At 49.1% G+C, this 24,476-nt stretch overlaps 1 long non-coding RNA gene across 1 annotated transcript in view, besides 5 other annotated features; it reads left to right on the top strand.

The window, feature by feature from the left end:
• The window catches only part of MIR3659HG (MIR3659 host gene), a 72,397-nt gene extending 56,207 nt beyond the window's left edge, over positions 1-16,190 (top strand). Inside the window, exons 3-5 of the long non-coding RNA NR_168386.1 lie at positions 206-321; positions 2,292-2,412; positions 15,620-16,190. This is a non-coding gene — a long non-coding RNA (MIR3659 host gene). The remainder of the gene's footprint in view (positions 1-205; positions 322-2,291; positions 2,413-15,619) is intronic.
• Positions 10,633-11,498: an enhancer, noted in NCBI's record as "H3K4me1 hESC enhancer chr1:38579645-38580510 (GRCh37/hg19 assembly coordinates)". NCBI's record gives its function as "activates a minimal SCP1, AML or CMV promoter by ChIP-STARR-seq in primed H9 embryonic stem cells {active_cell/tissue: H9 hESC(primed)}" and the evidence as "EXISTENCE:reporter gene assay evidence [ECO:0000049][PMID:30033119]".
• Positions 12,609-13,109: an enhancer, noted in NCBI's record as "H3K4me1 hESC enhancer chr1:38581621-38582121 (GRCh37/hg19 assembly coordinates)". NCBI's record gives its function as "activates a minimal SCP1, AML or CMV promoter by ChIP-STARR-seq in primed H9 embryonic stem cells {active_cell/tissue: H9 hESC(primed)}" and the evidence as "EXISTENCE:reporter gene assay evidence [ECO:0000049][PMID:30033119]".
• Positions 13,785-14,328: an enhancer, noted in NCBI's record as "H3K27ac-H3K4me1 hESC enhancer chr1:38582797-38583340 (GRCh37/hg19 assembly coordinates)". NCBI's record gives its function as "activates a minimal SCP1, AML or CMV promoter by ChIP-STARR-seq in primed H9 embryonic stem cells {active_cell/tissue: H9 hESC(primed)}" and the evidence as "EXISTENCE:reporter gene assay evidence [ECO:0000049][PMID:30033119]".
• Positions 14,329-14,871: an enhancer, noted in NCBI's record as "H3K27ac-H3K4me1 hESC enhancer chr1:38583341-38583883 (GRCh37/hg19 assembly coordinates)". NCBI's record gives its function as "activates a minimal SCP1, AML or CMV promoter by ChIP-STARR-seq in naive and primed H9 embryonic stem cells {active_cell/tissue: H9 hESC(naive and primed)}" and the evidence as "EXISTENCE:reporter gene assay evidence [ECO:0000049][PMID:30033119]".
• Positions 21,104-21,285: a silencer, noted in NCBI's record as "fragment chr1:38590116-38590297 (GRCh37/hg19 assembly coordinates)". NCBI's record gives its function as "represses an EF-1alpha promoter that drives an FKBP-Casp9 reporter gene in an ReSE screen in K562 erythroleukemia cells {active_cell/tissue: K562}" and the evidence as "EXISTENCE:reporter gene assay evidence [ECO:0000049][PMID:32094911]".

Consider the following 24,476-nt stretch of genomic DNA (forward strand, 5'->3'; position numbering starts at 1 on the left):
CCCACCAAGTGCTACGCCTGTAATATGGGTGAGCTCATTCAGTCCTTATGGCAACCCTGGGTGGTAGGAGCTATTTTACAGATAAGGAAGGTTGAGGCTCAGATGACTTAAGGTCAACCCTGCAGGGCATACAGAGCTGGGATTTGAACCTCCATCTGTCTGACCTCTGATGCTGTTTTTGGCTATACTTTGCTACCCTGAGCAGTTGTGTATCGAGCTGGGGGATGTAAAGGGAGGAGAAGAAAGAAGATGAAGAGATACCAGCCAGCCTTAAGGAGTGGACATCCTGCCTGGTGAAACTGAACAAGACACCTACCGCATGTGAGTGAACCAAGCCCTAGTTGCTGGGCTCCGACAAACATGGCTGGTTTGGGGAAGGGTATGTAAGAGTGGGTGTGGAGGGTTTTGGCCTGATAATGAAGGTAGGCTTCTTGGAGGTAGAGGACCCTGGAAGTTGAGTGGAGTTGAGGGAACAGCCTGGCAACATCCTGGGCCAAGGCAGGCAAGGTGTGAGTATGGCTCTGGTGAGAGGAGGTAAGTCTGAGTCGGGTAGTGATGGTTGTGGTGAGAATATCCATGTTGGCAGAGGAGGATCAGGTTGGAAGATGTAGTGCAAAGAAAGAGCCCTGAGCTGGGAAGCAGGTGCCCAGTTCTTGTCCTGGCTCTGCCATTGAGTTGCTGTGTGATCTTGGGCTAGTCCTCTTCCCTCTTTGGGTGTCCAATTTTCTGTCTGTAAAATGGTAGAGTTGGATTACAGGATCCCTAGAGACCTTTGCAGGGTCCTAAGGAGAAAGAAGGTGACTATAATATCCAGAGGACCTTGAATATCAAGACTTGGCATTAGAATCATGAAATGTTAGGATTAAAAAGATCTCCAGGAATCATCTACTTAAACTATCTTCCTTTACATCCTACAGGATGAGTAGGAGTTATCAGGCAAAGGAAAGCAAAAGATGGAAGAGGGAAAAGAGGGCATTCCAGGCAGGAGACATAGTGTGAACAAAGGCATGGGTGGAGGCACGGTGCAGTGAACATTAAGCAGGTTGACATTGAAGATTAAAGACCAATGTGGCCGAGTGCAGTGGCTCACGTCTGTAATCCCAGCACTTTGGGAGGCTGAGGTGGGTGGATCACCTGAGATCAGGAGTTTGAGACCAGCCTGGCCAACATGTATTTTGTAAAAATACAAAATTTAGCTGGGTGTAGTGGCGCACACCTGTAATCCCAGCTACTTGGGAGGCTGAGGCAGAAGAATCACTTGAACCTGGGAGGCAGAGGTTGCAGTGAGCCGAGATGGCACCACTGCACTCCAGCCTGGGTGACAGAGTGAGACCCTGTCTCAAACAAAAACAAAAACAAAAACAAAACCACAAAAGACCAATGTGGGGTGTGGGAGGAGGCGAGTCATCAGTTAGGAGAGGGAGATGGGACCAGACCTCGGGAGGACCAAGGGGGTTTGACTCCATCCTTTGGGTAATGGGGACTCATTGAAGCTGTGGGAGTGACATGCTCAGAGGTACAATTTTGAAAGATGACTTTGGCAGCTTTGTTGATCATGGATTTGATAGGGGCTGGGAGCAGATACAGGCCAAGGATACGTGCTGACAAGACAGGTCAGGAAGCTGTGTGTCAGCTCAGCAGGAGGTGGTGATGGTCCCAGTCAGGGTGGCAGAGTGGGGACACTGAGGATAGCACCTGTTCACAAGGTATTTGGGAAGTGGAATAGATAGGACTTGTTGATTGATTGGCTATGGGGAGTGGAGAAGAGTGAAGATACAAGGACTCTCAGGTTCTGGCTTGGTGATATTCACTGAGATGGGACACACAGGAGGAGAGAGGGATTTTTTGGGAACAAAGATAGCTGAGTTTTAGATCTGGTGAGTTTGAGGTATCAATGGAACAGTGTGTAATGTCTCATTCATTCATTAATTATTTACTGAGCATTTACTATGTGCCAGCCATGCCTGGATACTGCTTTTCCGTAGCTGTCAGCCTAGAGGGGCATTCAGAAAGTTCTTCTATACACTGAATATTGAGCAGCTGAACTTTTACCCATTGGCCTTCTTCTGCCCTTCAGGACTTCACTGGCGTCTACCCTCCTTCAGAGATTAGAGATCAGTGATTGTGGTTCCTTGCATCATCTTTGTTTCTGGGAACATGGAGCTGTGGAGGGAATGTGGACTTTAGAAAATTATAAAGGCATGGATTTTAGCCCAAGCACCTTTTGTATGATCTCATTTGTTAAGTGGGTTTAACGACAACTTTTGTTTTTGTTTTTGTTTTTTTTTCAGATGGAGTTTCGCTCTGTCGCCCAGGCTGGAGTGCAGTGGTGCCATCTCGGCTCACCGCAACCTCCACCTCCAGGTTCAAGTGATTCTCCTGCCTCAGCCTCTCAAGTAGCTGGGATTACAGGTGTGTGCCAGCATACCCAGCTATTTTTTTTTTTTTTGTATTTTTAAAGAGACAGGATTTCATCATATTGGCCAGGCTGGTCTCAAACTCCTGGCCTCACTGATCTGCCCATCTCGGCCTCCCAAAGTGCTGGGATTACAGGCATGAGCCACCACACCTGGCCTAACAACACCTCTGTTACTGACAGTAGAGTGCTGGAGTGGGTTCCTACTGGCTAACAGAACCCACTGGAGTGGGTTCCTACTGGCAAACGTTTGGGCATCTCTTCCCAATTCTGCATGCATTGACATCCCATTGGTAGCTTGAAATTGACCATCGTGGGAGTATTTACACCACAGAAATTGGCAAATGCTACAAATCAGGACTCCTTTTTTCTTTCAAAAAGCTGGTTGGTAAGTATTTACCAGCTAACAGTAAATATTTATGGCATATAGAGTTGTGGTTTGGATGATGGACGTAGAGCACCTGGCACATGGTACCCAGATATACACATATTGCTTAGCACAGTGGGTACCTAAGTGTGACTACCTTTTCCTTTGATGTTTCCTCTCTATGGGAATACTGTTGCTTCATTTGCTCACAATAACAACCTCCCTTCCACCAGGGCCTGCTCCTCTCTTTTCTCAAACAACATGGTCCCAAGTGAAGCTGCCATCTTCTTACTCCTCTTGGCCTCCATAATGGGGTAGAGTTAAAAGGATGGGGATTTTGGAGTCTCATGAGACTAAATTTGAATCTTGGCTTTGCCTCCTACTAGCTGTGTAATGACCCTGGGCAAGAAATTTAATCACTCTGAGCCTCAATTAAGTCACCTGTAAACTGGGGATGGGCATGCCTCCCTCATTAAGTTGTTGTAAAGATGAAATGAGGTAATGGGTACATGAGGGCCTGGCATTGAGGCGGCAGTTTCAGTGAGAGCTTGACCCATGCTGGTCTCCTTCCCCTGAAAAGTCCAGTGTGGACTTGGGAAACAGCTCTGATGATGGGGTGGGGGGTGGGAGAGGGAGGAACTGGGGCTGCAGCCTTGGGAAGGATGGTTTCTGGTGGAACATGTAGGTCGAGAGAGGCTGTGGGCCATAGGACCTTCCAAATGTATTCTGAGTGCAGTGGAGGGGAACTCCCCTGGCCACAGTTCATGCTTCCAGGGCCCTCACCTGCAGATCTGCAGATAAACTCCTATCATCAGCTTGGCTCGTGCGTTTCTGGGGCGGCTGTGGCAGCCTGGGCTGCCCTGATTTACCACCCCAGCCCCAAGCAGATTAAATCACCCAGAGTCATTTGAATTTTACTTGGCCTTGTCACACAAATCTTAGAAACTGCTGTCTGGCAAGAAAACTTTCCCTGTACTTTTTGGAGGAAAACTAAGAGCTCTAGAAATTGAGGTGAAGTGGAAAAAGGAGGTGGTTCCAGGGGGGTTTCTGCATCTTCAGATCAGACCAATGTTGCAGGTTAGAGGAGGGATTGTGGTGTGTGTGTGTGTTTGTGTGTGTGTGTGTGTATGCAATTGCTGCAGAGGCCTCTGGGACAATGTTGTTTCTGGCTGTGTGACATAGGGCAAATCACTTAACCCCTCTGAGTCTCACAGGACTGTGGTGAAGGTCAAAGGGGCTAGCTTGTGGAAAGCATTTTGTAGGCTTCAATCAGTTCTGTGACTACTAATTGGAAAGATGAGACAAATGACTACATAAATAAATTATATATGGCAGTGGTTACTATGCGTCAAGCAGAGTAAGAGCTCTAGGAGCCAAATGGAGGGGCACATTGCCAGAGGTCTGGGGCTTGACTTGGGCCTTAAAGGAAGCCTAAGTCCCAGGGAAGAGAAGTGGAAGAGGCTGTAGTGCAAGTGAGGTTGTCGACGCCACCTCTGTCTCCATCAGTGTGTGTGGCTCTGAGGTGGATCCTGATTGGTTTAGCCAATTCAGATAATGCCCCCTTCTCTGACCTTGGCACATTGGCTGGTTCCAAACCAACCATACATACATTCTCCTAGTCACTGGAATTGATTCAGATTGGCCCCATCAGACAGAAACTCGGGGTTTTGGTGAGATGGCTGGGGAAGCACGTCTAATCTCTTTGTATCTGGATTTGAATGAGGAAACATGTGGGCCTAGTTTCTGGCAGGCATCTGGTGACTAGGAACACTAACCTGAGAATGTAGCCAACATATGGAGGTGGGAAGAACCTGGAAAATCACAGAAAAATGGAGTCCCAGCCCCAGTCAAACTATGCCTGATGTTTGTTGCATCTGGAGTATTACATGAACTAATCAATCTGCTTTATTAGGCCAGTTTGGATACAGGGGCTGATACGGGGGCTGATGGAGGGATCTGAGTAGGGAGCCGAGAGTCTACTTGGTGTTAGGCAGCCATGAATGAGGAGACCCTGTAGGCGGGAGTAAAGGGTGGGTGAGGGTGCGTAGTGGGGTGAGGGTGGCTGAGGTCTATAGGAAATGAGACTAGAAGAAAGTCTGGGATTGAATAATGGAATGACTCAAATGCAAGGTTAAGAATTTGGGCTTGATTTTGTAGGCAATGGGGTGTAGCTTCAGATTTGTGAGCAGAGGAAGGGAAAGGATAAGTGATGTGAACACAGTGATATTTTGGGAAGATCAACGTAAGAGTGGGATATATATATATATATATATATATATATATATATATATATATAGGATTGGAAAGAGAAATTGGGGGCTGAGACTTTAAAAATTATCATTTATGGATGCTACACATAGTTCATGTATTATCTCACTTAATCCTTAAAAGAGCCTCCCCCATCCCTCTTTTTTTTTTTTTTTTTTAAGCTGACTTTCCAAAATCTTGCGTAACTTGACTAGACCACATAATTAGCAAATGGTGGAGTCAGGATTTGAACACAGGTCATCTGACTTCAAACCCTGTATCCTTATTCACCATATTTATGGTAACACAGTTGACAAATTAGGATGGGCTAGATAAGATAGTGGCTACAGAGGTGGAGAGAATGGAACGAGAGATATTAGGTTGGTGAAGTTCTAGATGTTTTGTCATTAAAATCAGAAACCAGATCAGGATAACCATTGTTATCAACATTTAAAAAACTCTTTTCCAAAAGTGCTAGGCATTGCAATTAGATAAGAAGATGAAACAGAAAGTATAAATGTTGGGAGAGAGGAGTAAATAATCATAGTTTGCAGATAAGATGATTATTTATCTGGAAAACTCAAGACAATATTCTGTAAAACAATCAGAAAAAATAGAGTTTAGTAAAATGGCCAGTAACAAAAAAATTTACACAAACTAACAGTCTTTCTATTTATAAAATGACTATCTAGAAGGTAAAATAAAAGCTCCATCCATACTGTAAAACACAAACACAAAATACTCAGAAATAAACTTTACAAAAAAGTGTGTAGCATTACATGAAGAAAACTCTTCTGAGTTTGAATAAATATGGTATATACCTAGTTCTTGAGTAGAAAGATTTAATGCTTTAAGGATGTCAATTCTCCTAAACAAATGTGTGAAATTAAGATAATCCAATCAAGATCCCAACAGGATTAGAATTTTTTTTGACAAAATAATTATGAAGCTAATCTGGAAGAATACCAAATGAGAATAAGGAAAATTCCAAAAAAGAAAAATGATGAATATTTACTCTATCAGATATTAAAATGTTTTATAAAGGCACAATATAATTAAAATTCTTGTCTAGGAATAGACAGACAGATCACTGGGACAGACTAGAGTCTAGAAATGGGCCCAGATATTTAAGGGAATTTTTGTTTGTTTTTGGAACAGAGTATCACTTTGTTGCCCAGGCTGGAGTTCAGTGGTGTGATCTTGGCTCACTGCAGCCTTGGCTTTTCGGGCTCAAGTGATCCTCCCACCTCAGCCTTCTGATTAGCTGGGACTACAGGTGCAGGCTACCACACCCAGCTAATTTTTTGGATTTTTTTGTAGAGATAGGGTTTTACCATGTTGCCCACATTGGTCTTGAACTCCTGGGCTCAAGCGATCTGCCACCTTGGCCTCCCAGTGTGCTGGGATTATAGGCATGAGCTATTGCACCCAGCCTTAAGGTATTTTTATATGATAAAACAGCATTTTAATTGAGTTGGGAAAATATGGGCTATTTTATAAATGGCGTTGGGATAATGGGCCAGCCATAGCAACACTCCTTATTGGGGTAAGAACTCTCTGACTTGGTCTAATAAGCTCAAGCCATGAAGACCACATGGCATAAATATGAGTGAATATTTTGATCATCTTAAGGTGGGGAAGATTCTTCTAAGTATGACGTGATATTTGAAATCATAAAAGAAAAGATTGATAAATTTGACTATATGAAAATTAAACATTTAAGTACCTTAAAGAACATTATAAGAAAATTTTAAAAGAGGGGTATATACATATGTATGTGTATATATATATATATATATATATATGACAACAGTTTAATTTTATTTCTAATGTACAAAGAGCTCTTACAAATCATTAAGAAAAAGATAAATATCTCATTAGAAAAATGGGCAAAGGACATGAACAGGCAATTCACAAAGAAAATAACTACAAATGCCTGAAAAAACAAAAAGACATTTATTTCCCCCTCCCTATAATCTTAGCAATGCCAATAGAAACAAGCATCATTTGCCTTCTGTTGATCTGGCCAAACATTAAGGCTGACAAAACCCAGGCTTGATGAGGGTCTGGACTAATGTGTGGGCACGGTTGATGAGAATTTTGCTGTTGTAAGCTTTCTGAAGGACAGAGTGGCAAAATAGAAATAGCATACCCTTAATTGCAGCCATCTCATTTATTGGATTTTATTCTAAGGCAATTGTTGCAAAAATGAGCAAAGAGAATATGCACAAGGATATTTATCACAACATTGTTTATGAGAACAAAATTCTCACAACATCCTTAAATGATCATCAGTAAAGACCCAGTTAAATAAAGTATGATACATATAATGGACTACTATGAAGTAATTAAAATAATTTTGTAGAGCTCTATTTATTGACATAGAAAGATGTCTAGGACATATTGTTGAGAGAGAAAAGCAGGTGTCAGCGAGAACAGTATGTATAATACAATTCCTCGTCTATAAAATTATATACATAGATCTCTATGTGTATATATGCATAGAGATATGTCTGGAAGGCTGTTCACCAAAATGCTTGGAGTGGTTGTATCTGGGAGGTAGGATTTTTACTTTCTTTTTTGTACTTTTAAGTATTGGTTAGATTTTTTTTTATAATGAAGATATATCATGTTTTTTAATCAGAACAAAGAATAATTCTATTTGTTGTAGCATTTTGGAAATAAGGCAGATACTAAATAGGAGGAATCAGCATGTGGTGATTTAACAGATGTGGATAAGGAGTCAAGACATAAGCCAAGAATTTGCCCTTTGGTGCCCGGAAGCTTCATGCATCATGGCAAACCCAGAGCAAGAGTTGATGCTGGAGGAAGAAGGAGGCCCTGGGTTTTCAGAGCTTTGTTCTGTGGCAGTGGCTGGTGGGCAGTATGGCTGCCTCTTAGAAGGGGAGGGCTGGGGTGGGCTTTTCCCCAAGGACAGAGCTAGGGATGAAATCTCAGAGGGAGAGAGTGCATCGGCAGGTGCAGGAGAAAGCTGGAAACTGAGCCTGGAACACAGCCATGGTGACAAGACGGGTGAAGAAACAGGATGCGTGGTCAGGAAGGCGCGGGGCTACAGGAGCATGGAGTGTCTCAGGATTCCATGGGTGTGGGGGCGAATTTCTAGGGAAAGGTCAACCATATCTAATGATGCAAAGGCACGGAGGCTGGGGAAAGGGCACAGGACTTGACAAATAGGACCTTGTTGATGACCTTGGACCGAGCAGTTTCAGTGGAGGAATGAGGCTGTGCATTGTCGTGTGTGGGAGTAAGGGAGTTTGTTGTGGGAGAAAGGAGGATTTTAGCTTGGGGGAGCTGATTTAAGGGAAAGGGACTGAGCCTTGAATAGAGATGTCAATAACTGGCTCGTGTGCCTCCCTGCTCACTCCCCAGCCCTGGCAGGCATCACTAGTCATTCTGCCGAGCCCAGATGAAGCCATAAAATCTTTCTCCTAATAGCCAGCTCAGGGAGCCGCTACCAGGTTCTTGGAGTTGGCTGCTGAGATGAACCTATTTTCCATGCCTGGGCTTGAACACACGCTTGCAGGATGATGAGAAGAAACACATGGAAGGGGCGACGGAAGGAGCAGGAAAGCCGAGGCCTGGTGGAGCCAGGGCCTCCCATCCATGCAGGCATAGACGGTGAGCTCAGTCTGGTGAGACTTCCAGGCCAGAGCCTGGATGAGTGGAGCACTCTGCCAGTGAGTCTGAGCTGACCAAGCACTAGAACAAGAGAACAAGTTCGTCCTTTTGGTGATGCTGTGAAAAAGCCCAACTGTGTGTGAACTACCAGTTGGTGTACAGATATTTGAGGACTCACCACGGCCCACCATCTGGCTGTCCAGAGAAAGCATCGTCAGCACTCTGTTGTCTGGAACACTGAGCATGGAGGGGTCTGCCTGTGGGTTCCAACTGCAGTGCCCGAGAGCAGAACAAGGAGTTGTGGCTCAGTAGTGGCTTGTTGGGAAGACTTTTAAGGAATATACTCAGTGTGATTCGGCTGCTGGGCCTCTAATGGTGTTTTGATTGCATCAGTGGGAGCATGGGGTTCTGGATAGTGGAGATAAATGCTCTTTTGGACTCTCAGTGGCCAGAGCTTCTCTGGAGCAGTGGAGAGAGGCAGACACGCGGGCAGAGCTCACCCACAGAAAATGACCAGGGTCAGGGGAGGCTGGGCATCATGCCCATCTAGGAGAAATGCTCGAAGGAGCTCAGGCCAAGGAATTAGATGTTTGCTTTTAACCTGCCGAAGCAGTGCTTTCAAACACATTGTCCTTGGAATTTTAGTTTCTTGCAGTTGTTTCACAGAAAAGGGTTCTATGAGCAGATGTGTTCAGGAAATGCAGCACCCACAGCTCAGTGCACGTGAGTACAGTAAAGGCTTTGAGAAGTCCTGCAGCGAAGAAACTTGTTTAATGTAGCATTTTCTCAAGCTTATTCAACTACAGAAGCTTTTTCAGTTCCATATCGATTTGCCTCCTGCAGGACTAGTGACGGACCTGGGGCAGAGGGAGCAGCGCATCCTGTGTGGTCCCAGACATACAGAATTGTTTGGGCAAATGTAAGAATGTTGCAAAGAGGCAAATTTTGGCTCAGTTCAAGGAAGAACTTTGAAAGCAATTGCAGATGTTTAACCCATGAAGGAGGTGGTAGAGGAATTTGAGTTCCCAGAGGCCTCAAGCAGAATGTGGACTTAGCAGGAATCCTGCAGAAGGAAGCCAGGTTCTAAGGGGTTGTCATCATAGATTTCTGTGGTTCCATGAGTCCTGGAAGAGGGGCTCCTTGGCTGCCCCATAGTGGTACTCCTCCCTCAGAACCTGTGGCCTAGCTTGTATTGCTGTGTACGGCAGCCAGGCGGACTTGGAATGCTTGAAATGAGCAGTCTGCGAAGGTAAGATGTGAACACACGAATATCCTCATTAAGTCCCAAATACACATCCCAAACTTTACATAACAGGAGCAGCAGCTGGAGACGCCCACAGCCCTAATTGCTTTTCTGTACTAAGAGAACGTCTTCTCTTCAGCTCTGCTTCTCCCATTCATTTAGGTAATTACTGGAGGGAGCCAGCTGTGGAAGGCTGGCGGGCAGGCAGGCGCATTTGTGACACCACCTAATGGGTGCCGCCATGAGGATGGGGTGCCACGGGAGCTGGAGCCTGTCCGTGCTCTTCATGGGGAGTAGGGTGCTGAGGATGGGAGGCCAGCTGCTCGGCTTCAGTCCTGATCTCAGTGGGCCCAAAGTGAGCTGCCGGGATGGAATGCCTCTCCTCCCAGGGACTTGACAAGCACGATTCCAAGAAAGGACAGATCCAGAGCCAGGTACAGGCATGGGGAGGGGAACGCATGGAAGAATCGACTCTGCTCAACGAATTGCTCAAGGTGCTTTCTCTGAATCTCATGTTGGGCTGGGGCACTGAGGCCGATCAATCAGGAAGAGCCCACTCTCTAAGCTCACAGGTCAGGGGAGGAAGCAGTCATGGGCCAGAAAGGGCTGGGATCAAAGGAAGCTATCAGGACTGGGGTGTGCAGAGGACACAGAGACTGACTCTGTCTTGGTGACAGGGAATCTGGGAAGATGTCTTGGAATAAGAGATAGTAGGATTGGGCCTTGGAAGTGTGTATGACCCTGCAGTTGGTGATCCCTTCTGCAAAATGGGGCCAAGGAAAACTTCCAGGCCCCAAAGTGACATCTGGTTTGTCCCCTTGCTTCCTGGTCCCTAGTAACAACCTGGGACTCATGAGGATCCTCTTGAGGTTTCTTTAAGGCAGTCCTGAGCATGGGGCTCGCAGCTGGAGCCAGCCTGGAACCTGGGCCCTTGGTGGTTGGCCAGGGTGGGTGCCCTGGAAGAGTCAGCTTTGAGCCTGTCTTCAGAGGGGCCCTAGGGAGGGCTGTGGCCTAGGCGCTCTGCCCACCAGGCTTCCTGTGGGTGGCAAGTGAAACTTTTCCTCTTGGTTCTCTCCCAGAAGCCAGCTTCATTCCCCCAGCCCCAAGTGGCGGCTCCTTGGGCCGGAAACAATGTGCTTTCTCCACGCCTTAGAGTGGAAGTCAGCAGTTTGGCACCGTCTGGCTGGCAGCCTCCACCGGCTTCCTTTGGCACTTTATTGGCAAAGGCGGTGACATTTCTTTCAGTTGGGTGGGTGGAGCTGTTATGCAAACTCCCGCTCTCCTCATTCGCCAGATGAATATTCATGACTCAGGCAATCTGTACCAGCCAGACTTTCCTGAGGGCGGCAGCTTTTCTTCTCTTCCTCTCTCTCTTTTTCTTTCTCCTTCTCTCCTTCCCAGCTCTTTGGAAAGCTGAAGTGCAGCTATATTTAATTTACAAATACAGAGCCATTTAGCTTGCCTTTTGAGATGCAGGCACTGGGGAGGAGGTGCTGGGGAATGGGAACAGTGGTTGAGGAGTTTGGTCCTGACCCTGTGCCTCTAAGCTCCAGTGTCCAGCCCCTGGGCCCTAGATCCTGGGAAGCTTTGGGAGTCTGGAGCTTCTTTGAGCTTGGCCTCTTGGGGCCTTCAGGGATGAAGGTACAGCAGCTCACGCCACCCCATTCCACACTGGCCTCTGAGGTCAACATGGAAATTCTCAGGCAATGATGGTTTCCTGCAATTCATGGCCTGGGACCCACCAATACATCTTCTCCCGCTCTGCTCTCCCGTTTGTCAAGGCCCACCCAGATCCTGCTCCAAGCTCTAGGTGGAAGCCCAGAAGGCACTGGAGCATTTGCTAGTCATTGGCTTTCCGGGGAAAGAAATAATCCTTGTTTGGGGTCCAATTCCTTGGGGACACATTACTCCCTTTCTAGGAAGGACAGGTCCCTAGTTTCCTTTGTCTCTTCCCAAAGAGGCACCAAGAACTCTGGCAGAGGGGTCAGAATTACCAGAATTTGCCAGGAAATGTGGTCTTAGCAAGGATGTGCTTGCGTGAGCACGTCTTGTGTGTGTGTATGTAAATATTTACGCACAGCTTAAGTGAGTCTGTGTGCCTACATCTATGTTCAAGTGTCTGAGTGTGTGTCTGTATGTGTAAGGGCGTGAATGTGTGTGTCGCGGGAAGTCTGGGAATGCTTGCATATGTGCGAATGTGCCTCTCCAGTTCGCGTTGCGTGTGTACCTTTGGGGGGACTGGGGATATCGTGTGTAAATACGGGTGTTCCTGGGGGGCCCAGACGTGTATGCGAGTGTGTACGTCTATTAAGTGAATTGTAGGTGTGTGTAAAATGAGAGTCTGGAGGAGAGAAAGAGAGAGTGTGCATGTGTGTGTGTGTGAGTGTGTGTGTTAGGGTGTGTTTCCCTGACCTCCATTTCCTCCCAAACCTTTTCCTCTCCAGGAAGGTGGAGGGGGACGTTTCCCCCTTTGCAAGTGTTACAGATTCTATCCGAGGACGTGAACAGAAGGTTTCCCAGCACAGAGCGTCCTGAAATTACTTTATATTCCCCCCCTCCTTGTTTCATCTAATCAAAATAGCAGCATTAGGCTCACCCATTCTCCCTGCCCACCCCTCAGCCCTGGGGGAGGGAGCGAGGCGGGCGGGCCATCTTGCCTGACCCCCTTTGAGAGCACCTTGCAGGCCTGAGCCAAGGAGCTGTCTTCCAAATCTCCTCTTTCCTCAGCGGCCCATGCTTCAGTGGCAAGAGCCAGCTGCCTCCCTGCCTGCCAGCAACTGCCAAGCTCTTCCAGAACCCACATCTAGGCCCGGCCTCATTTACAAATATGCAAATTTGCATCTTTTCTGGTATGCAAATGGAGACATGACAAATAGCTAATTAGGGTCAAAAGAAGCACTCTGAACCAATTAGTTGTAGGGTCTATCCCTTTCTCCTGGGAGAAGACTGGGCCTTCCTGCTCCCTTCCCAGCACTGACTCCCAAATGCCCACACACTCTGGCATCCTGTCTGGCTGGGGCCCTGACTGTGAAGAGCACTGAAACAGACGTCAGTGCATGGGCCTCAGTCTTACCTCTGACCTAGCTATGTTACCCTGGACTCATTTGACTGAGCCTCAGTCTCTTCCTCTGTGAAATGGAGCAATGACAATGACTATCTTGTCCCTAACCATCCACCCCAGCATAGGGAGACTTGGGAGGACTTGGATGTAAATAGCTTTTGAAAACTGTACTACAGGCCAGGCACGATGGCTCACACCTGTAATCCTAGCACTTTGGGAGGCTGAGGCAGGTGGATCACCTGAGGTCAGGAGTTTGAGACCAGCCTGGCCAACATGGTGAAACCCCATCTCTACTAAAAATACAAAAATTAGCCAGGCGTGGTGGCGGGCGCTTATAATCTCAGCTACTCAGGAGGCTGAGGCAGGAGAATCACTTGAACCGGGGGGGTGGAGGCTGCAGTGAGCCGAGATCACACCACTTCACTCCAGCCTGGGCAAAAGAGCAAAACTCCGTCTTGGGAAAAGAAAAGAAAAGAAAACTGTACTACAATTTGTCTGATAGGCACATCACTTGTAATCTTACAAAGTACTTTCTGCCCTTGATCTCATTTAATCGTCCCATCAACCCTCTGAATTAGATGAATTCAATGTAGGGATAGGATGGCAGTAGGTTTCATTCCACATGCCAACTCTGGCCAAGTATGAATGGTGCTTGGAGTGGTGTGTTGAGAAGGATTCAGAGGCCAAGTCTAAATTCACCAAAAAAGAGACTGTGAGCTCTTAGTGACATTTCCCATGGGCAAGTGTTTGGATTCTGGGAGGTCATGTGCTGCATACTTACCTACCTGAAAGATATGGAATTTGGAGCAGGAACCTGGGTTCCAGTCCTGTCTGCTCCCTTGATTAAGTTACTTATCCTTCCTTGGCTCAGCTTCCTAGTATAAAGCAGGGAAAATAAAACCTATGTCTTTGGGTTATTGTAAAGATTAGGCAAGGGAAACTTAGGCAAAATCTCTTTGTCATCTGAGAGGGGATGTCCATTTAATTGGCATGTCAGTAGGGCAGGCATATTGTCCATTTCACAGGTGAGGAGCTTGAGGCCTGGAGAGGGTGGATGACCTGAAGAAGAAGCTGGCAGCATCACCAGGCAGGGCTGCATGGCAACTGGGGCTGCTTCTCTCTCTGCCACTACAGGATCCTGGCTCCCTCACACCACCCCCATGCTGATGCCCCACACGGGCTGCAACAAGCCCTGCTGGCCTGGCTCCATTTCTGGGTGTGAAATTTGGCTGAGTCGGCACCTGGTAGAATGGAGCAATTGCTATCCTGGAGCCTGGGGCCTGGGACAGGGCCAATGCGCAGACCAAGGGTTGATGGGCGGATCTGACCAAGGGTTGGTGGGTGGGCCTGGCGGGCTTGGCCAGGGAACTCGCCAAAGCTGGGCAGCTGGCAGGAGTGGGGCAGGAGAGGGCCTGGCTTGAGGACAGCCACTCAGGGAAGCTGAGACCCAGGGCCTAAGCTCAAAACAGAGCCCAGCAGCATGAGTGTCTGCCTGGTTGCTGGCGTGCCTGAGCATGTCGGCCGGTGTCTCCGAGCTTGTCTTTGTGTGTGTGCACGTGTCTAAGGGTATGCTGGGTGCGTGTGTTCTTATAAATGAGTGTGCATGTCTATCAGTGCAAGAGCTGGTGCACCCATGTAGTTGTGCACATCTGTGTACCAAGGTGTGTCTGTGTCAGTGTGAGCCTACACATCTGTGTATAAGCAAACTTCTTGCATGCATACATCTGTCAGTATCCGTGTGTGTCTGTGCATTTCTGCCTGTATCTGCAAATGTCTGCTTGTGCACTGTCCATGCAGGTAGGTCCACACTGGTGTGTGTCTGATGACCTCTGTCAGTATCTGCGGACATGAGTCTGTGCTTTCTGTTAGCATCTGTGCAAGTGTCATCTACGTCTATGAGCATGTTTGTTCTTTCCAGTGCCTCTATGTGTCTTGTACCTGTATGTAAATCTGTCCATGCCTGTCGTGAGTGTCTCTGCAGCTGTGCCTGTATGTTGGTGTATTTTGCAGTGTGTACATCTAGTGAGGGTATTGGTATTCACTTCAGGATGCAGGCATGGCTGTCTCAGGGTGAGCAGGATGGAATCTTCCCTGTGTCTGCAGTGGCTCCCGGTCATCACTTCCATCTTTGCGCTGTGGCTGAGGCCTCCTGGACTCTCATGTTCCTTTCCTCTGCTTGAAGGGAAGCTTTGCTCAAGGTTTCCCAGGGTGCTGCCTCTGACAGGACCAGGCCCTGGTGTCCCTGAAGGAGGACCCGCTTTGCCCTTTGGACTTGTTTATCCCTCCCCTCACTCTTTCCTCCTCTCATCTCCTTTCCTTTTTCTTTTCTTCCTTCCATTCCTCATCCTTGTCCCTTTTTTCTCTCCCTCTTTCTTTCCTTCTCTCCTTCCTTCCTTTTTTGCAACTCGCTTGAAGAGACTGGGTCTTGGGCTGCTGCGGGAGTGACAAATGACGTTTCAGAAGCCACACTTCAACCTCTGGAGAGGGGTCCCCACTCCCGCCCCCATGCAGATGCAGCTCCAGAGCCACCCAGTCTCCGGGGGCTCTGTAAATTAAAGCCATTGCATGCCCCATTGCATTTTAATCATCAGCCCCCAGCAGTAGCTCCGAGTGAGAACCCATGACCTTTTCTCCTTCCCTTTTGAGGAGCCCTCTCCCACCGCTCCTACACTGCTGGTAAAAGGCAGCCGCACTGCCTGCTGGAAGACCTGCCAGCTTGGGCTTCAGAGCACTTCTGCCTCAGATCCACGACGATCCCTTCTGTCATCGTGGGACCTTTCCTGGGATTTGATTTAGGGCGACGCTTCCTCCTGTCTGTGTCCTGAGTCCTGCCTTCCCTGGCTGGTCCTCTTTGCTTAGTCACCCAGATCATTCCCAGACAGCTGCGCCCTGGATATGGCTCCTCTCATGTGCTGCCTGGAAATGTCTCCTCTCTTCTCACCTGCTGAGAGGTCCTTCTGGGCAGGGACTCGGGCAGATTCATTCCTGCCTGCCCCACATTTCCCTAGCCCAGGGCCTGGCCCGTTGCAGTGCTGAAGGATGATTCTGGTAAGAAACAAGGTACTCCAGCTCACATCTTGCAATGATTATGCCTCCCCCACTCTCCCTTCTCCTTGCAGTTCTCTCTCTTCACTGATGATTTTGGATGCAATTTAAAATAAAAATATTGATTAAAAATGGAAACTATATAAATAAAAATAAAAACACTTAACATCAATGTGTCATTTGAGCTTTAACATAAAGAGAAAACATGTGAAGGTGACAATTTGTGGACAATTCCAAATTAGCATGAAGTTCTCAGCTGGTAAGTATCTTGACTTTTTTCCCCTCTCTTGGGGTCTGTGGAATCCTGACCAGGCATGTGGTGCAGTAGAATGGGAGGAACTTGGCTTCGGCCTTGATAAGCCTGGGTTGAATCTTCCACTTATGGGCTTTCTGAAGCTCAGTTTCCTTATCTGTGTAATGGGGAGAAAGACCCTACTTCATGGCGTGATTGTGAGGCTGATAGAAAAGGGCACACAGGGGCCAGGCCCAGTGGCTCATGCCTGCAATCCCAGCACTTTGGGAGGCCGAGGCAGGAGGAGTTCGAGACCAGCCTGGCCAACATGGTGAAACCCTGTCTCTACTAAAAATACAAAAATTAGCTGGGCATGGTGGTGGGTGCCTGTAGTCCCAGCTACTCAGGAGGCCGAGGCACGAGAATTGCTTGAACACAGGAGGCAGAGGTTGTAGTGAGCCAAGACTGTATCACTGCATTCCAGCCTGGGCAACAGAGTGAGACTCCATCTTAAAAAAAAAAAAAAAAGTCAGGCTGGTCTTGAACTCCTGACCTCAGGTGATCTGCCCGCCTCGGCCTCCCAAAGTGCTGGGATTACAGGCGAAACCCTGTCTCTACTAAAAATACAAAAATTAGCTGGGCGTAGTGGCAGGTGCCTGTAATCCCAGCTACTTAGAAGGCTGAGGCAGGAGAATCGCTTGAACCCAGGAGGTGGAGGTTGCAGTAAGCTGACATTGCACCATTGCACTCCAGCCTGGGTGACAGAGCAAGACTCTGTCTCAAAAAAAGGAAAAAAAAAAAGAAAGAAAGAAAATGGTGCACAAGGCCAGAAGCAGTGCCTTGTGTCTATCATTTCACCTTCAGAATACAGCCAGAGTCCAACCACTCCTTCCACAGACACTGCTATAGTAGAGGTCCATGCCCAGTGGTCTATTCTCTACGCAGCAGTCACAGTGATCCTGTTAATTAGCATTTAAGTCGTAGCACATCACTTGTCTGCTCAGAGCCTGCAGTGGTGCGTATCTCATTGGGAGTAAAAACCAAGGTCATCATAGCAGGCTCAAGGCCTCACATGGTCAATCATCCCTCACCCCAGGGCCCCCATCCCTGTCTTTACTATTCTCCCCCATTGCACTTCCCTCCAGCCCCACTGCCCTCCTGGCTGTTCCTGAACATGTCGGGCACTCTCCTGCCTCAGGGCCTTTGCACACGCCATGCCCTTTGCTGGAATGCTCTTCCCCCAGATATCCTCATGCCTCCCTCCATCACCCCCTTCAGGTCTTTACCCAAGTGTCCCCTTCTCCATAAGGAAGACCCTGTTCTTTCTGACCTATTTTTATCTGTGGCACTTGTCACCATCCAGTATATATATTTTTTTGCTGACTGATTTTCTATGTTGCTTGTCTCTCCCTGAGAGAATGTGAGCTCCTTGAGAGCAGGGATGTTTTGTCTTTGTTTTCAACATCTGGAACAGTGCCTGGCAAGTCATGGGCGCTCAATAAATATTTGTTGAATGAATGAATTGCTCATCATTTTGGAGGGTGCCAAAACATAGGAGCAGCTATCTTCCAACTTGGGCAATCAGAGGTGAGAATTCTGCAATTCTGAAAGGGCATTATTTCAGCATTACTTTGTTAGGGAGGCAGTGGGGGCCCTTGGGAGGAAACCCCATGGTCCTTCCGCTTGGGGCAACCAGCTCAGGAGGAAGTACCATGTGCTGGTTCCCAACTCAGCGGGAGAGTCAACAGTGTGTTCTCGTGGGCCAGCCAGGCATCAGGGATCCTGCTCCCTGGAAGCCTCTCTGTGAGCTCCCTGCCCCGTGGCTGCAAGCATATCCGAGGCTAAGGCGGGCCTTCCAGGAGGCTCACACTCAGCCAGGCTTCTCTGTGGAGGTAAGGGCACCAGAACGCGGAATAAACTTGTACTAAGGTAGGTATTTTAGCTGGTGCTGGAAAGTTGGGGGAGGATTAGCTACCAGAAGAGCACGGGCCGGGCACTGCAGGCCCAGGGAGCAGCGCGGGCAGAGCCGAGCATGTAGGAGGCTCTTGGTGCACTGGCTGGGGAGGGACAGGCAGCGAGTTGTGGCTGGAACGTGTCTACTTACCTGCGAGAACCTCCTGAAGCCAGGATTGAGTCTGCTCCATGTTTGCCTGCCCCTGTAGTGCTTACAATGGTGCCTGGCCCTCGCAGGTGCCCTTGACGTCCGCTGTGTGGCCTGTTCAGCTCAGGCCAGGAGTCTAGGAATTGGGTGGTCTAGGCACCTCTGATGGTGCAGATCAGACCTCAGAACAGGCCTTGGAGAAGACAGGGGTTGGGGGGTTTGGCTGGGAAAATGGTCTAATCTATTTGGTTGTTGCAAAAATAATTGCAGTCTTGCCATTAACTTTGGTAAAACTGCAATTACTTTTGCACCAACCTAATTCCTTTATTTTATTTTTCTTTCCTTTTCTTTTTTTAAACAATGTTTTGTAATCTACCTTTATTTTAAAAGTAGTTTCTTCCAAGATTGGCACAAGGGTTTCTCCAGAGCTAGAGATGAACCCAGGTCATAATGATCTCCCTAGTCTGGACACATTCATGGCTAAATATGGCTTTGTCTGGATTTTAGAACAGGGTTCTTTACTTTTTTTTTTTTTTAAATGCCATGAACTTCTTTAGCAGTCTTCTAGAGTAGTGTTTTATTCTTTATTATTATTTTTTTTTAGAGACAGGGTCTCACTCTGTTGCTCAGGCTGGAGTGCAGTGGCATGATCATAGCTCACTGCAGCCTCTAACTTCTGGCCTCAAGTGATCCTTCCACCTCAGCCTTCCAAATAGCTAAGGCTAAAGGTGCGTGCCATCACTTTCAGCTAATTAAAACAATTTTTTTTTTTTTTTTTGTAGAGATGGGGTCTCACCATGTTGCCACACTGGTCTTGAACTTTTGGCCTCAAGTGATCCTCCTGCCTCGGCCTCCCAAAGTGCTGGGATTACAGGTGTGAGTCACCATGCCCAAACCCAAATAGTGTTTTTAAATGCATAAAATGAGATACATAGGATTACAAAGGAATGGTTACGGTTCTAACCATAGATCCCAGGTTAAAATGGCCAGTTACACTCTTTTCGAGGACAAATATTCCACTCTGTGAAAACAGAGCACAAACCTTGGCTTCTCCTCCTGCACACTGGAGGGTGGGGTTGGGGGAGGTGTTTGTGCATATTTTTGCAGGGCTGTCCTGGGGGTGGAGATAAATGTCTGAGAGGCAGAGTTTGGAACCCTAGGAGGATGCCACTTGGAGGCAGATGGCTGGGCTGCCTGGGGGAAGGGTTGAGCACCCCATCTCTGGAGGTGGTGAGCTGGAGGCCCATCTGTCAGGGATTCTGGGGTCAGGCTGGGGTGGGTGATTTCTGCCCAGGTGGGAGAGGATTTTGATTTTTCCTGAGCTACTTTTGGTGGTGAATCTAGGAGGTACGCAGGGCTGTAGGAACTTTCTCTTTTGCCAAACCCTGAGCCACGCCGGCAGCCCTGGGAATGAGAGAATGGTTACTTTGTGCAGGCTTCCACCCGCCAGGCCCATAGCAACAAATTTACCCCAGTGCCATCTCCAATTTGCCTCAGAACCAGTAATTGATCTTGTTCTTTGGAAGACAATGGCTTCAGGGTAGGGAAACACCTTGCTCCTCTGTCTGTCTTCCAAAACCATTCCTGGGGAAGGGGATGGATTGTAAACCATATCACCCATCCTCCCGCAACAGCTGTGCAGGCTTTCAGTTCTGAGCCTAGGAGGGGATCCCTCCTTCTTTCCTCTGTGGCACCGTCACCCTCCCTGGCAGCTTGAAGGCCTTCGACATCACCCAAGAGCCTTTGAAATTGTCCAGTCCAAATCCCCTGTGTGGGAGCGTGGATGGGGTCACTGAGGCCTAGAGAGGGCAAGGGCTTTGCCTAAGTCACATAGCCTCAGGGTAGCAGGGCGGGTTCTGGAACCTCAGCACTGACTCATCCTGCTGTGTCTGGAGTAGGGAGAGCTGGCAGTGGGAAGGCAGCCCCGGGTCTCCTTTGACAAACACATCATGCTTCCCACCTAAACCACCTCTGTGGGTGGGGAGCTGGGGACTGGTCTATTAGCTTTCTCCCGCTGTCCCCCGAGGGTGCATTTGTCTGTTTTGCATTTTTTCCAGGCTGTAGTTAGACAACTCCTGGTCCTGGGGGGAGCGCTGCAAAGAGAAAATGTCAGGGCGACATGCCGCCAAGATAACATTAGCGAAATATCAAGTCCTTTATGATGTCAAGAGGGATTCCTTCCCGCTGCCGAAGCTGCCTAATGACATCATAAAATAGGCCTGCAGCAGCCGCAGTCCCCCTGAGTCATCCATCAGCCCTGTTCATGGAGGGTCCCAGCCCGCACGCGGGGTGGGGGGTGCCGGATTTTAAACCCAAAGGAGGCTCCAACAGAGCAGTACTGTGATGAACTGAGGGACAGAGGACACCCACAGCTCCCAGAAAGGGGCAGCCTCCTGGCGGCAGTGCCCCTCCATGGCTGACCTGGACACTAGGGGACAGGCATGTCTCCAAGGCCCCTCGGAGACCTTGAGGCTGAGTTGGCTGCCATAGGAAACTAACACCTCCCGGGGAGGACCGCACCCAGCCTAGAGTACCTCCGTGGTGCTAAATGAGAAAAGAGAGCCAAGCCCAGACTTCTGGTTTCCTGAGGGCTGACCTATCTCTTGAGGGACAGACAGGACTGCTGGGCCCACGGGCCCCATCATCTGGTGCAATGAGACCAAGAGTCACCCCACTGGAGACAGATGGAGGAGGTCTTTGGCTCCTTTGAGGCTGGCATGTACTCTTGCATGTTTTGTGTGTACACTTGCGTGTGCCCATCTAGCTGTATAAATCTAAGAGTGTTCACAGCACATTGACAAATGGGTTGGTCCGCATGTGTACAGCCCGTGTGTACACACTCATGCCTGCATGCCTACTGTCCACCTGCTTTCATTTTTGTGTGTCTGAGTCTACAGCTGCCTAGATACCTTTCTCTATGTCCATGTGCTTGTGTTTATGCATGTCAAAGTGTCTGCCGATGTGGGGAAGGAGATGTGGAAGCAGATAAGGAAGAGTGAAGGGAGAAGGGGGATCCCAGAGGGTGAGTGGGTGCGTGGGGTGTAGGGGTGCCAAGCACGTCCACTCATCACGCTAGGCGGAGGACATCAGCTGTGTGTTGGATTCACCTGGGGAAGCTGTAAAATCTACCCATGCTCCAGTCTCCCCTCAGATCAATGAAATCAGGACCTCTGGAGCCAGGGCCCAGGTACCAGCATTTTTTCAAGGCTCCCCAGGCGACTGTAAAGTGCCACTGGGGTTGAGAACCAGGGGTGTACTCAAGCCTGGCTATTCTAAGTGTGGTCTGAGGACTCGCAGCATCAGCCCACCTGGGAGCTTCAGAGAAATGCAGAATGCCAGGCCCTGTGCCAGGCCTCTTGAGTCATAATCTGCATTTTCATCCCACAATCTGTATTTGAATAGGATCCCCAGGTGATCTGTACATCCATTAAAGCTTGAGAAGAGTAGAGCGGTGCTTCTCCACATAAGCAGGCAACAGAACGTGTTTTAACAAACCCTCTGGGGTGATTCTGTTGCAGAATTTCTGATTCAGTAGGTCTGGGGTGGTGTCTAAGAATGTGCTTTTCTAACGAGTTCCCAGGTGAGGCTGATGCGGCCAACCTGGGGCCTACACTTTGAGAACCACTGGTATGATTGTAGCATATGAAGGAGGCAGACAGGGGGAAAAGGGAGTGGAGGCGGGGGTGTTGGGGAGGGAAGGTGGGATGGAAGGGGAGAGGACAGCTTAGTCACCTGGGAAGATCATGTCCCTCGAGAGTCTGCCCTGTCATTGTCTTAGGGTCTTGATTTTCCTGACTCTTGGGCTAGGCCAGGGATGGGGCTAATAAAGGGAACAAGAAACATACAGAACTCTACCGAGAATTGCTGGCATTTATCCTCTCCTTTCTGGTCCCTGCAGAGCCTCTCCCCACCCCTCATTCTGTTCAGTACAGGGATCCAGGGCTGGATACTTCTCTGGTTCCTGAGAGCCCCAGGCCAAAGACGCGGGCCCTCTCAGAGCCTGAGCTCATCAAAATGCCCACATGCCTTCTTGGGAGTCCAGCGCTCAGAGGGGGCTCAATAATCAGGGCACCCATGTATCCAGTTTGCCTGTGACAGTCAGTTTCCAAGAATCATCCTTTCATTCTCAAAAGTTTGCATGATAAGCCATATGGCTCCCTACTAATAATGGTTACCGAAATGATGAAAGTTCGGTTGAGGTAGAGGTGAGGAGGCTGAGAGGGTGGAGTGTGGGAGGGGACGGGGTGTCTTCCAAGGGGAAGCCCTTTGGAAACCTGCCTTTCAGGGCCCCTCTGCCTTGCCCGGCTTCCTTGGGGAGGAATGGGAGGGAGGGTCTTTCCCAGGAGGGGTCAGTACATGGCGGAGGGGGGGGCGGTCTCTCCTATGGGGCGGCCAGCCTTGTCTGTCTGCCGGTGCGGAGGCAGGAGATGGGGTGGGGATGGCGGTGGGAGCAGAGGACGGGCAGGTAGAGGCTCAGCTGCAGCCCCTCTCTTGGCTGGGGCCAGACCGTAGTATCAGTACCTCTTTTGCCTGCATCTCCGCCCCAGGAACCTGAGGGCTGGGGGAGGAGATAGGGATCAGCGGGAATACCAGAGGTGTGAGGCAGGCATGAACTCACCCAGGGTGTGCCTGCTCTCTGAGCCCTGCCAGGCCACCCTCCACCCGCTCCCAGGTACCCCCAGGCCGGGTTAGACAACAAGCTTCAGCCAGCCACGGCAGGGGCGTCCCAACGCGCTGGCTGGGTCCCAGCCAGGCTGAGGCAGGGAACTGGGTAGCCTAGTGCTACCCAATACTTCTTCTGGAAATAGCCGATAGTGAACCAAAGTGGATCTTCTCCGCCCACCCCTGCTGGGTCCCCGGGGGCTGGTGCATTTGGGGGAGCAGCAGGGAAGTAGAGCTGGGGCTGGGGAGAGCAATTTAGGACTGGAATTTTGCCATAGACTTGTGGTCCAGAAACAAGGGAAGTCAGTACTTTCAAATGACCAGGGGAACTGGGAGACCTGTCTCAGCTTGGGACAGGGGGTGAAAATCAGGAAGAAGTTGGTCCAGCAGTGTGGGCCAGTAGAAGAATGCCACTGTGTGCCCAGTGGTGTGCTCACAGGCATTAACTTGGAAATCACGGGCAGAAAAGCCGGAGGAAGCTGTGGGAAGTATTTACCAAGCCAAATACATTAAAGCACCTCTTGGTAACTTCTGATTCTGGATGAAACCAGAGATTCACATGTGGTAAGGTGGGCTGTTAAAGTCAACTGGTTGACATGGGCTTGGTGGAGTATGGGTGGCCCCCTAGAAGCTGTGGGTGTCCTGAAAATGTAGGGGGAGGGCTCTAGGAGAAAATACTCCTACCCTTGACTATCTGCTGAGTGGGCCCGAGCCTCCTGGCTAGGGGCCCCTCCCAGCTGCCCTGTCATCACTCAGCAGTCCCCATTTATGCCTGAAAGCACACTCAGGCCCTCCCCACACATGCTCTTCTATCCCATCCCACTCGTCTATAAGTGCACCCATGCCACCCCTGCATACACTGGCACCCACCACCTCCATGCACATCCCACATCCGAAAGCACAGGGAAGCAAGTGGGCCTCACCCAGGAGCTTCGCACAGAGCATGCCGTCGAGACATCTTTGCATAATGAGTGAACGGATCCATCTGTGAGCCGTGACCTTTTCTGGCCATGCTCCTTTTCTGTGGGCTCAGAGTCCCAAATCCAGCAGGGAAGTGGGGGCAGACAGCATTTGCCCCAGGGCTAAAGGCCATAACCCTGCTCTCCAGAACATTACCTGGTAGTGGCTTTCCCTGCCTTGTGGATATGAGCTGCTGTTCAGAGCTCCCTTTCCCCCGTGTGCTTATAAGGGACCCCTGCCAGTATCTCTGCCTATCGTTCTCTGAGTCATTTTTTGTTTAGCAAATGTTTCCTGGGCTTTCTGTGTGCTTGGCCTTCTACTGAACTCTGGGGCCCAGAGACTAGGAGAACAGTTAGCTCATCCCTTCCAAAGGACACCCAGTGACTCTGGGGCTTGGCAGAACCCTCAGGCTGGCCACCCCTCCATTCTGGGATTATATCCTTCCTGGACCCTTCCCCACCTTCACTCCCATTTCTGCCCTCACACTCACACACTTTTCTCTA

The sequence above is a fragment of the Homo sapiens genome, chromosome 1 (genome assembly GCF_000001405.40).
Source record: "Homo sapiens chromosome 1, GRCh38.p14 Primary Assembly".
In the NCBI taxonomy this organism is placed as follows: Eukaryota; Metazoa; Chordata; class Mammalia; order Primates; family Hominidae; genus Homo; species Homo sapiens.